Source organism: Homo sapiens, chromosome 13, assembly GCF_000001405.40.
Source record: "Homo sapiens chromosome 13, GRCh38.p14 Primary Assembly".
Taxonomy (NCBI): domain Eukaryota; kingdom Metazoa; phylum Chordata; class Mammalia; order Primates; family Hominidae; genus Homo; species Homo sapiens.
The window spans coordinates 54,792,276-54,805,496 of record NC_000013.11 but is presented as its reverse complement, the minus strand read 5'-3'; the positions used below and the strand labels follow the sequence as shown (position 1 = coordinate 54,805,496).

Genomic DNA, 13,221 nt, shown 5'->3' with positions numbered 1-13,221 from the left:
AAATGTCAGCATGAATCCTAAGAAAAATTAACAATTAATACTACAGTACTAGCCCTCAAACTCAAACAATTGTAATAGAAAGAAATGTTTATTAATAGTTCTTAGTCAACCTATCTCATGCATGTATTGAATTTTAATGAATATTGGTTTACTCATTTGCTCTAAATTTAACTGGAACACTACCAAGAGGGGATTAATCTAGATAATAAATATGTTTCTCATTTTTCCATAAGAATCAATCATTATGACATTTTTACTTTGTTCCCCATAGAAGTCAAATTCTACTGAAGTGACGGAGTGAGAACAAGAGCGACTAAGATAGAGAAAGAAAGAGAGAGAGACAGAGAGAGAGAGAGAGAGAGAGAGATGTTATGAACAAGGGTGAGTTTGGATTATTGAGGGGGGGAAACATGGCAACATTGAAGAAAAAAAAAGTTTCTGGCAGTTATTTCTCTATTGTAGCAGTTTTTTTTAGGTTTTATGAAAGTGTCAAATCAAGCACCAAGGAAAATGGTTTACAAATGCAGAACTCTAAAAAAAAAAAAAGATAAAAAAGAGATCAAAGACAGCACAAAAAATGTTATGTTTAAAAAGATGGATCGAGATCAGCTTTCCATTTCAGTGTTATTTGGAGTCAATTCAAAGGCCACTTTAACGTTACACAGAAACATGAATTGATTTTAATGGCATCTATGAAAAAAAAACTTTGCCTCAAACACTGTAACGAAAAGATTCCAATGAAGTCGTTATGCCTATAATGTTGTTATCATCACTCTGTGCCTCAAAGCTGGACTTGTATATTAAAAGATGGAAAATATTTGAAGAAAGAAAAGTCAAGCTAGGACTTAGAACTCTGGCGCAAAAATTCTATATCATCGAGCCCTAACTTTAAGCCAGTCAGCTGCCAGCTTACAAAGCACACATTTGTGTCATGTTTCTATAGATCACACATTTTAGAGACAAAACTTATAAGTTCACCTGAAAGATACAGATGTAGAGTTTGATAATAAATATGGAAAATAAATGTTTACTTATATTTGTTTTAAAGTCAGTGACAAATAGTTATAAACTTTTACAAAACAGAATTGATCCAGATTCAACCCATATCTGCAGCTTTATAAAAGTTTATATTCGCTGTTTTTATTCACTGATTCTAAATTTGTTCTTCCTTGTGTATACTTGACCAAATGCTTGTGAATTTCAAGCTGTTCAGATCAAATAAGCATTGAAAAGTAAATAAAGGCATTTCTAGGACTAAAAAGGTGATATGATGGATTTGCACACCGGCAGAGAATCCATGAAGAAAATGTATTCTCATCAGAAAAAACCCTCTCGCCATTCCACTCTCCGTGAGAAACTTACATTCTAAAATTGAAGGCTGCAACCTTCCTTTTGTTGATTTTATAGTATGTATAATAGAAGTTAGCCTAGCTATTCATGGTCCTGGATATTAATATACTGAAATACTTGTAAGTATAGTACATGACATTTGGATGTGGCCACTTTGACGCAGACACAATTGATGTTGGGATCCCTTTGTTCAGACCTTGAAAAATTAAGTTTTTACTTTTTTAAAATTGTCATGTCATATACCTAAGAAACATCCTCACTCCACTCCTGAGCTACAAATTCACCACATCCTTGACTCCAGCAGCACTGGGATCAAAGGTGTGGAGAGAATCTTTTGAGTATAGTGTGGAGAAATGCTGGCCAAGGGTTAGAGAGGGAAGCAAGGGGAAAGAAATAGGACATGATTTGGAGACATTATGAAGTTCAGAGATGTATAGTGCACATGTGATGTAATTCATAAGAACAGCTTCTTGAACTTTTAAAAATTATTTAGCAAACAATTTTGTTACAGCTGCATCAGAACAGCTGTATCTGTTAGAGATGATCAGAAAACAGATGGTACTCTCAAAAGGTTATTTAAAAAGTTAAAGGAAGAGGCTTTTCCATATACGTAGGCAGGGTTAAGAGAAGTGACATGGGATGCTGAAACATTCAGGATGTAGCAGCCATGCAAATCTGTTACCACTCCAGCTCTAAACCCAGAGAATGCAGCTATTGCTGAGCTCTGAACCCATTCAGTAATTAAAAGCCAAGGAAACTGATTTGAAGCTTTAAATAGAGGATGACTTTTAGGAGGAAAGAAGTAGTGGGAAACACTGGGGACTGGATCTGAGATAGAAAATAAAAATACCTAGCACAGCTCATCCCTCTTGTTTCTCACTGTTCTTCCTGTCCATCAGTTATCAAATTATAATTAGCTGATGTCAATGTAATTACAGCCCTACCCAAAGCCTACACTGAAGCACTAGCCAACATCATTATTCTTATATGATCAAAAGGGAAAAACACACACAGACAGGCAGGATAAAGGGAAATGGAAATACTTAATAGAAAACGTAGATTATCCTTTAGCAGGAACATGTTGGTGCTCTCTTAGTCTTGTTTTTGTTTGTTTGCTTATTTGTTTGTTGTTAGATTTGCAGTATCAGATAATGCCAGGCTCATGATGGGCAGTTTGGATCTCATAGTCCCTTAATGCTCACGGTCAAGCATTCGGTTTTTGTTAGGGCCCAATAGGAAGCATGGAGACGTTTTTCAAACACAGAATAGTTATCTCCTGAAAAAGACATGCCTTATTCCAAAGCCCTAGGGGTCCACACTATGATTACCATATTGAGATTTGTCAGAGGTTCCCAGAATATCCATATCTCCCAGAAACTTCCAGTACCATAAAACCCAATAGCAAGCCAGTTTGCCTGCAGCTTGGACTTGCTATAAAAAGATCTTATACAGATACTTTCTCAACAACAATATAAAAAGTGTATTCTCTTGGCAACTGCAACAGCTTCCATATTCAAGGAACTATATTATTTTCATCAGAAAGAGTGTTCCGATTTTTTAAAGGAGATTTTCTTGAGCAAGCCCCAAAGATGGCTTTTTTCTTCACTTCCACCCCTATTCCTCCCTACCCCAACCCTCATTTGCCCTTTTCTTATTATTTTCCCAGCTCCTTCCCACAAGGAAGCACTTAGCTCATTTTTGCGCAAAACGTAGGCAAGCTGAGGTCACCAATATCACTCCTGAAATAGAAGTCTGCTCACTCATTCAAGATAATTACTTCTTTTGCTCTCCTTTTTCAAAGAGGGATGATACATCAAATGAGGCTGAAAGCACTACTTCTCCAGGAAGTGACTTTATTTTAGTATTTTATTTTATATTGTGAAGTTCTATACCGCAGAATCTTCATAAAATACTTTGAGAAACTCTTTGTAGAGTGACAGTTTTAGTGGAGGTTCAATTCACATTAGATTTTCCTATATTAATTAGAGTACTGTGATTGGCAGGGCTAGGATAATACAATGTGTATTTTATGTACTGCAGCTTGGACAAAAATGGTTGGATATGCAATACGGAGAAGTAGGGGTTATGTTGTGAAAATTTACTTTACCAATTTGAATATTTATCTTATTGTAGGACTCCTGGGAGATTCCAAGTTTAACTCAACATATGGTCTGTAAATTTAAAATTAAATTTATTTGTATAAATTTGACACAATAGGAGTTAAGCTCAAACGAAGGAAATAAGCATATGGCAGATTTACCACTAACAGAAAGCCTAACGCTATGCGAGATAAGAAGAAGGGTTTGGTAGTTTTAGTTTTATATTCATGACTATATATCTATCTGGACATATTGCTTATGTTTATTGTTAGTTGTTATTCTAAAACATAGGTGAAAATTTTTTTTACTACAATGCATCCACAAAAGTAACTTCCATCTTAATATTTTAAATTGATTTGTAATACATATATTTTTTCATATATAATTATATGTATAAATGTATTTATTCACATACATACACATACATAGTACGGCCAACAGATATGTCCTTTTTTCCCTGATAATTTAACATCACACTTCTGTCTGGTAGGAATCTCTACTCTCAGGGAAGCTATACGTCTTCTGTTTTTCTGGGGCAGTTGTCCATAACTCATTCTTTTCTGCCAGTGACTTCTCTACACTAAGTTGCATGACATCACTCAAACCAATGAAATGTCAAGGAAGAATGATGGGGCTTTAAAAAAATTCCATTAGAAACACAAATACCTGTGAGCAGAAAGCATTATTTTTTTCTCCTTCTTTCCTTAAACATGAACATGATGCTTGGTTGCTTACAATCATCATATGTAGATGAATGAATGTTCAATGTTTATTAGAAAATAAAGGAGGGTTTGATCGACTCTGTTTTAGATGTTGCATTCTTCACTTCACCTGGTTATGTGTGCACCTGAAGAGGGTTTAAGCATTGGAAGCAGCTCTACTTCCACGGTGCAAGAGGAAAGAAGGCATCTCTCATTAAAAGCTAGTCCTCCCTATAAATAGTACCCCTTTATGCCTTCTCAATAATTGTATACTACTGCTTACATGTTTTGTGTCCTATATTATCAACAAGACCCTCTCAAACCAATACATGATTACTTACAATCAAGCCTAACCTATTAAAATATAAAACCTATTCATTAAACAAATATCACCCTCTTGCATCAATGCCATATTTTTCAGTGCAATAATTTATACTTTCTTTTTCTACCTTGCATTAGTTTTCTATTGCTGTTGTAACAAGTTACCACAATATAGTTAATGGTTTAAAACTACACAAGTTTATTACTTACAGTTCTGGTGGTCCGAATTTCAAAATGGGTTTCACTGAGCTATGACCGAGGTCTTGGCAGGATTGTACACTTTCTGAACATTCCAGGGGAGAGTCTGTTTCTCTGGCTTCTGCAACTTCTAGAGGGTGCCCACATTCCTTGTCTTCTGTTCCCTTCCGGATCTTCAAAATCAGGAACAAAGTATCTTTATTACATCTCCTTGCTTGCTTCATTACATCTCCTTCTCTGACTCTGACCCCTATAAACCTTACTTTTATAAAAAACCATATGATTACATTGGGCCCACACACCAGGATCATCCAGGATAATTCTACTGTATCATGATCCCCGACTTAATCACATCTTCTAAGTATTTACATTGTGTAACATAACACATTCACCGATTCCTGAGATTAGGGCTTGGACATCTTTGGTGAGAGACATTATTCAGGCCACTACATACCTCCCACTAGCTCTTCAGCCTTCTTAGTTTCTGTCACCATCATTCCACTAAAATCACCCTGAATAAATTCACTGTGGATCTAAATCTCTTAAGTCCAAAAGATAAAGTTTTTACCTCTCATATTCTTCCCAGCATTTCTGAGAGGTGACAGCGGTGCTGGCAGTCCTCACTGGCTCTCGGCGCCTCCCCTGCCTGGGCTCCCACTTTGGCGGCACTTGATGAGCCCTTCAGCTCGAGGCTGCACTGTGGGAGCCCCTTTCTGTGCTGGCCAAGGCCGGAGCGGGCTCCTTCAGCTTACAGGGAGGTGTGGAGGGAGAGGCGCGGGCGGGAACCAGGGCTGCGCGCGGTGCTTGCAGGCCAGCGCGAGTTCCGGATGGGCGTGGGCTCGGCGGACCCCGCACTCGGAGCAGCTGGCCGGCCCCACTGGCCTCAGGCAGTGAGGGGCTTAGCACCTCAGCCAGCAGCTGCTGTGCTCAATTTCTCGCGGGGCCTTAACTGCCTTCCTGCACGGCAGGGCTCGGGACCTGCAGCCCGCCATGCCTGAGCCTCCCCCAACCTCCGTGGGCTCCTGTGTGGCCCGAGCCTCCCAGACGAGCGCCGCCCCCTACTCCATGGGCCCAGTCCCATCGACACCCAAGCGCTGAGGAGTGCGGGCACACGGCCGGGAACTGGCAGGCAGCTCCACCTGCAGCCCTGTGGGGGATCCACTGGGTGAAGCCAGCTGGGCTCCTGAGTCTGGTAGGGACTTGGAGAACCTTTATGTCTAGCTAAGGGATTGTAAATACACCAATTGGCACTCTGTATCTAGCTCAAGGTTTGTAAACGCACCAATCAGCGCCCTGTCAAAACAGACCACTCGGCTCTACCAACCAGCAGGATGTCGGTGGGGCCACATAAGAGAATAAAAGCAGGCTGCCCCAGCCAGCAGTGGCAACCCGCTGGGGTCCCCTTCTGCACGTGGAAACTTTGTTCTTTCACTCTTTGCAATAAATCCTGCTGTTGCTCACTCTATGGGTCCACACTGCCTTTATGAGCTGTAACACTCACCGCGAAGGTCCGCAACTTCACTCCTGAGCCAGCAAGACCACGAACCCCACCAGAAGGAAGAAACTCCGAACACGTCTGAACATCAGAAGGAACAAACTCCAGACACGCTGCTTTTAAGAACGGTAACACTCACCGTGAGGGTCCGCAGCTTCATTTATGAAGTCAGTGAGACCAAGAACCCACCAATTGGGGACACATTTCAATGGATTGACAGCTTATTTTGGAAAGAGTTTTACTCTTGAAACACTTCTTTTTTAAGTTTTCTTGACAATATAGTCTCGAGTTTACTGGTCCCACTTCCCTTATTTGTACTTACAAATAAGTACAAATTTTAACAAATTTGTTTTGTTATTTAAACAGAGAACACACTTTACATACATGATTATAACTCCTAAATATGGGGAGTGCATTTTCTGCTGTTTCTCGCTTTTTCTACCTGTTTACTCTCAGAAATACACAGACTTTAAGCTACATGATTTATTTGTGGTAAATTAAACATCAAGTAGAATGACTTAGGACTGTGAGCTCTCCAAACTGGGGGAAAAAATACATCTTTTTTTCTGCTAGATGAAGGGAAAGAGCCAAGAGACAGATATTCTACCATCTTTTGTGCTCACCTCTTCAATTACGATTATGCCCAGGCTTCTTCCTGATTTTATTCTCTAAAACAGCAAGGTTGCACTACATCTGGACAACCTCTGCCAGCTTTGCCTACAATATAGTCACCACGCAAAGCGTAGTCTCCAGAATAGCTTTTCTTGCATACTAGGATTCTGAGAGATCTGTTTCCATCCCGTCATTTCCCTGGGCTTTACCTTCCAAATCAGGAATGTGTAGAAGTCTACTAAGATGAGTGGTAATAGTAGTGTTGTACAAAAATTTACTCTTTTCTTTGTTCATTTCCCATGATTCCTCAGTGACACTTGGGAGGGAAGATGTGAGCCCTCTCTCAGTGCTTTCTTTTAACCTGCTATCATTTCCATTTCTACTCTACAAATTTAGGGATATGAGGTGACACTTTTCTTCTATTTCTATGGCAAATGGGAATGTTCTTGCTTGCTGCGGAAATTGCTTTTGATATTTCAGTGCTGATCTAGAAACAGAGAACTGGATATCTCTGTTTAAGCTGCTACTATTTTAGAAATAACATCCGCCACACATTAGGATTTTTTTTATATATGACTTTTGCCACTTAAGCAAAATCTGCATGCAGAAGGAAATGAGGGGAGTCTCTACAACCAGAAAATATGTCTCTTTATCTTCAGTTTTTGACTTACATGTTCTCTTATACCCTGGTGTAAGCTATGATTAAACATTTCCACTCAAATGTTTCATAAAATGGAATCCACAGGAGAAGGAAATCTTAGGTCTCACAAATAAACAAATTTATAATATTTATGTGGGAAGCTAAATATAAGTATGCAATTTGAAAACAAAACAGAGTAAAATATATATTCAAAAAGAGATTCAAGATAAATATACATATAAACACATATATTTGAAAAGAAAGTCATAGTATTTTTATAGCTACCTTAGATTTTAGAATGAGTGAAGTGAAATTATTATTACAGAGGTGCTTATTTCCCTCATTTCTGCCTGATCTGGAAGTTACAGAAAAATATGATTTGATTACTTGTGTCTTCCATTCCTTTTCCTCAATGTATATCGTGGCTTTGAAGTTTATTACACAGAAGTATAATGGCTATCAAAGAAAAAGAAGAAATAGCACTTTTGCTATTTAAAATAAAGTCGCTTTGTGCTGGAAACTGGAATTTCCATTCTAAGAAAGTTTAATCCAACTGTTAACAGCTCAGTATGTGAAATAATGAGTCCAAGAGTCAATAGACACTTTTCTCCTATAGCAAAGGTCACAAGCCTCCGGTTGTCCACACTGGAGCTGTTTTGGATTTCAGGGTACATGCGCCTCATTTGAAAAGCCTTTCTGTGATTGCTGCTGTGTCTCCATCTGTTAGAGCACAGCATATTTCAAAGGTAAGGGTGGCACATTCAAATGCTGAATTTGGACAAGAATCTTAAGAAACATTATTTTATGGACAATTACAAAATGGCATTTGGTCATTTCAAGTAACATCTCAGTAGGGTTCCACTTCGGGGGCATTGTCATTTTAAACATCGGTTGAATACAATTTATTTATTCCAAAAATACCAGATGATTAATTAAATTATACATTTAAATGGCTATTAAACCAGGCAAGAATATTATATTTTTAAGGATAGCCAAATAGCACAAATAGATGAAAACATTAAATATCACTACTGTGCAGCATAAGGTGAACTAAATAGGGTCTCCTGCTTACAATTTTGCCCCTGCCAACCCCCTGCCTCCATCACTACTATTGCCTTACACATTATCAAATTTAACAATTTGAGAGCTGTCTCTTTGGTTCTACGGGTATATCTCTAGTATAACTGTTAAAATATAAATGTAGCAGATAGGTGATGTATTCTCTTACTATTTATCATCCAGGGAGTTATTAGGAAAAGCAGCAACCTCAGAGCTACTTAGAGTTTTGGGAAGAGAGAGATATGATAAAAATGCTGAGTGTTTAGAGGACAAACACTGTTTCTATATGAATTGTACTGGAGAACTGATTGTAATTGTTATAACCCTTCAGGAGCAGGCTCACAAAATGGTGAAGCTTGTTGAGTACTGGAACCAAACTCAAATCTAGATACCAAGGTTTGAATCTGGGCTACAGCCATTACTAGTCATGTGAATTTGGTTTTTCTGTTTAAATGCTTTCTGCCATGGTTTATTCTGTTGTAAATAAGGATGATGATAATACATACCTTATAGGTGAGTATTATATTAATAAGAAAAAATCAGTTAGGACAGTCATGGCCTATTTTAAGTGACAAATAAATGTTGGCAAATGTCAAAAATGTGAATGTTTAGTATACACAGATAGCTGTGAAACTACATATTCCTTAGACTGAAATTGCCAACAGCATAAAGCGTTCTCTTAATATTCATAGTTTTATTTATTGTAAACACATCCTAGTAATATTATCTTTAGTTAGTTTTACCTGTTTATAGATGAATTAGAAACTCCTATGTACGTTTCTGAAAAATCAATGAATACTTACCAAGTTGTTTTAAGTGTGTGCCATTTTAAGGTCTAATTATATGAATTATACTGACTAGTATAAATGTGGGCGTCTGTTCCTGTCTTCTCATAACATATTAAGCACTTTTAATTTAAATCTAGCAGTTTGCAATTAATTTAGCTCTTATATTTTCATGAAGCTTTTATCTATTTAGAGTTAAAACATGTACTCTACATATGTTTACTTATTGTCAAATTCCAAAAGCCACATTTTAAAACACCATAAAATATACTTTTTATTTCTGGTTGCTTAATTATATTGTGCTATATTACTGGAAAAAAATAGTAAGAATAAACTAATTTTTTATCACTTCCCAATGATTAAATCATATACTCTTTAATTTTTCCTCATTCTTCATTTAAATGTCATATAATAATTTTGTTTATTTTGAAAAAATTCTAAAAGGGTGACAATAATTTTAAGGCATTTCTAAAATTGGTGGCAGTATTTAGAATATAATGTTACTAATTATTAATGTTTTCACTCAGTGTTGGTTTCTGAGGTTTATGGATACTTTTTGTGTTTATGATAAATGTTTTATTCAATGAAATATGATACGATAAATAATTGTAATGGATACTGTTTAACATTCAATTAATATTAGTTTACTAAAATTACTATGTGCTGTATTTTATGCTTTCATACCAATTTTTAAGTTTTGTACTCATATGTGCATTCCATATTTACCCTGGTTACTTATGTTACTGAACAGAATGTGTATAAAGTTTAATCTCAGGAATAAAAAGTACTTATGATTATTATTTAGCATCTCTATATCTAATATGCAAGCAAGCCTATGTTATCCATGGTCTTAGCCTAAGTTTTAAAATTTAGTTAGAGAGCATAGCCATGTAGCAGTAAAAACCGAATGACTTGGGGCCCAGCAACCCATTTAATCCTCACAAGTAAGCTATGCAGAAAACAAGCCATGCATTCATTTTACTATTTAGGATTTGGGAAAACTGAGGCACAGAGAAGTTCAGTGAATTTTAAATCTCAACCCAGTAGATAAAGTGCATTTATTCAATTGAACAATAAAAGATAGTTTTTTAAAAAAGTTTTAAGCAGAAAATATCCAACAAGAAAGCAAAAGTTAATATTAGTACAAGAGTAATTACAATATAAGTCCATGAGGTGTATTAGTTTCTTAGGACTGCCATGACAAAGTGCCACAACCTTAGCAAAACAACAGAAATGTATTCCCTCACAATTCTGGAAGCTCAAAGTCTGAAATCAAGGTGTCAACAGGGTGGTGCTCCCTCCAAAGGGTGTAGGAGAGAATTCCTTTCTTTCCTCTCCTAGGTTCCCGTAGATTCAGGCATTCTTTGACTCATGGCCATATCACTCCAATTGTCTCTTTTATACATGTCTTCTCATCTATGTATCTGTCTCTGGAGTTCCTGAGGCTCTCTCTTATTAGGGTACATATGGTTGCATTTGGGGCCCACCCGGATAATTCAGTATAAGCTCCTCCTTTCAAGAGCTTTAGTTTAATCACATCTTTGGCCACACAAAGTAATATTCAATCTTTTGCCATATAAGGCACACAGATTCTGGGGATTAGGAAAGCAGCATGTCTTTTTGGGGGCCACCCTTTACAATATGGAATAATCACATCAATCAGAAAAGACAAGAATCCAAGAATAATCCAAGCATATCTTAATAATCAAAGAATATCTTGTCTATAAGAAATTCACTGAACTAAAAAGCATATAAAACTCTGAAACTAAATTGTTAAAGCCAGATATTACAGGCAATGTGAACCTGAAAATAATTCAATATAAAAATTTTAATGTAAAATAATATATAACATAAGCCAAAATTATCATGAGTAGTAACAATTTAAATACTTATAAATAGAGAATAGATAAAAAAAGTTATAAAAATTTAAAACCCCCAATTTTATATAGCCCTTAATTTTGTAAAGAAGAACTAAAAAATTAGGGGAAAAGACCAAATAAACTATTGTAGCTGGACATTTTAAATGTACCTCTCCCAAAGATATGCCAAACACATAATATAAAAGAAATATATATATATGTGTGTGTGTGTATATATATATAATTAGAATAATGTGATTAATATGCTTAAAACCAGAAAATAAGTAAAAGAATGAAATTTTCTTATTTTGACCTATCTGCACATTAAAAATTAATACCTAACATGATTCTCAGTGGAAAACTGTTAGAAATACTTTATTTAGAATATGAAACATGATAAGCGTCTTCACTATTGTAATTACTGATAAGCACAGGATAGAAATTCATAGCCAACAAGATTATTAAAAGACAAGCTATATTAGCTATGAGGATTGGTAGGGAAAAAGCAAAGTGCTGTTATTTGAAGATATGATTATCTGCATAAGGAAATAATAAATCAAAAGACATTTATAGAATTATGGAAAAAATTAGTAGATTTATTGTATGCAAGATTAACCTACAAAGACATCTGTGTTTACTATCAATGGTCACTAAAAAGTATAACAGAAAATAAAATATTATTATTCATAACATCACAAAAATAGATAGTAAAGATGAGTGGTTTTTCTTACCAAATACTAAAGAAAACTGCAATGCCATGCTCCAAACACAGCAGAGTGATGTTGAGTAGTGCAGAATCTTAGGAGTTTAGTGGACTGAATGGTGACCCGCCCCCAAATACATGTCATGTCCAAATCCCTGGACCTGTAAATATTACCTCATAGGGTAAAATAGTTAATATTATCTTACATGGCAAAAGTTGTGTTTTAGATGCTAGATTATCAGGGTAGGCTCTCCATGCCATCACAAGTGAGAGCAAGGCAGAGTGAAATTTTATGCACAGACTCACAGAGGAGAAAACAATATGAAGAGGAGGAGCAAGCCATGTGGCCAAGAGTGAAGGAAATCAACAGCAACAAGAAGCTGTAAAAGGCGAGAAATATAGAATCCCCTAGAGCTTCCAGAGGGAGAGTGCCTCTGCCAGCACCTTGGTTTCAGATCTCTGGCCCTCCAGAACTGTGAGATAATAAATGTCTCTTAAGTGACCTTTTTGGTGCTAATTTGTTACAGCTGCTACAGGAAAAGAGTAAATATTTCAATACCAAACATTGTTCTAGAGGAATACAATATTAAAGATAAATTTTCTTATTTTGTACTGGGTTTTCTGGAATTTGGTCTTAAAACTGATTAAATGTCCCTATTTCCAGTGATAAAGAGGAAACTAGTAGCCCAAGGTAAGATATTACAATAGAAATATACAGGATATCACCATTAAATTATTCTAACCAAATATATATATTTATATATCTATATATTTACATATAAAATGTTTGTATATAAAAATCTATATATACAAATATATATATATATATTGTGTGTGTGTGTGTATGTATATATAAAATTTTGGATTACCATTTTTTTTCCTACCTTAGAATATTTTTATTTAAAGTAATGAGCACAATGCGATTAGCTGGTTGCTCTAGGGGAGAAATTGAGGGTAAAAAAGACAGCACATCAGAATCTCAGCACAAGCTCTGATTAAATGACCTAAAATCTTCTGTATCTTCCCTGAAAGAAACCCTATTTCCTGCAGCTGCAGGATGGAGATTCTGAAATATAAACACAGAGTCTCATCCTGAGAGTGGATGGATCACAAAACAAATTGAATTCTCAACCATCTCAACAGGATGTCTTCTGTTAAACTGAGGCCACTGATAGGAAAGGAATGGGATCCTGAAAATTGCACTGAGGAAATATAGTCAGATTCTGGTAAAGCTGGAGACATCAGCTCCCTAGATTCTGCTGAATTTTCCTTTTCAGTAGTAGAAGCCTTTCCATCACTCCTGCCTGAAAAGATTAACCCTGCTTTGCCTGGAGAAATTGTAATAGCCTCCCTTGAGGTTGTTGCCTTTCAAGGCACTGCTGATTATTCTCAGCATCTC

At 36.3% G+C, this 13,221-nt stretch overlaps 1 long non-coding RNA gene across 1 annotated transcript in view; it reads right to left on the bottom strand.

Moving 5' to 3' along the window:
• LOC105370213 (uncharacterized) overlaps positions 1-12,528 on the bottom strand; it is a 49,122-nt gene extending 36,594 nt beyond the window's left edge. The window contains exons 1-2 of the long non-coding RNA XR_941975.3: positions 5,238-12,528; positions 4,682-4,842 (exon numbers count right to left, since the gene is read on the bottom strand). This is a non-coding gene — a long non-coding RNA (uncharacterized LOC105370213). The remainder of the gene's footprint in view (positions 1-4,681; positions 4,843-5,237) is intronic.
• Positions 12,529-13,221: the final 693 nt, after the last annotated feature.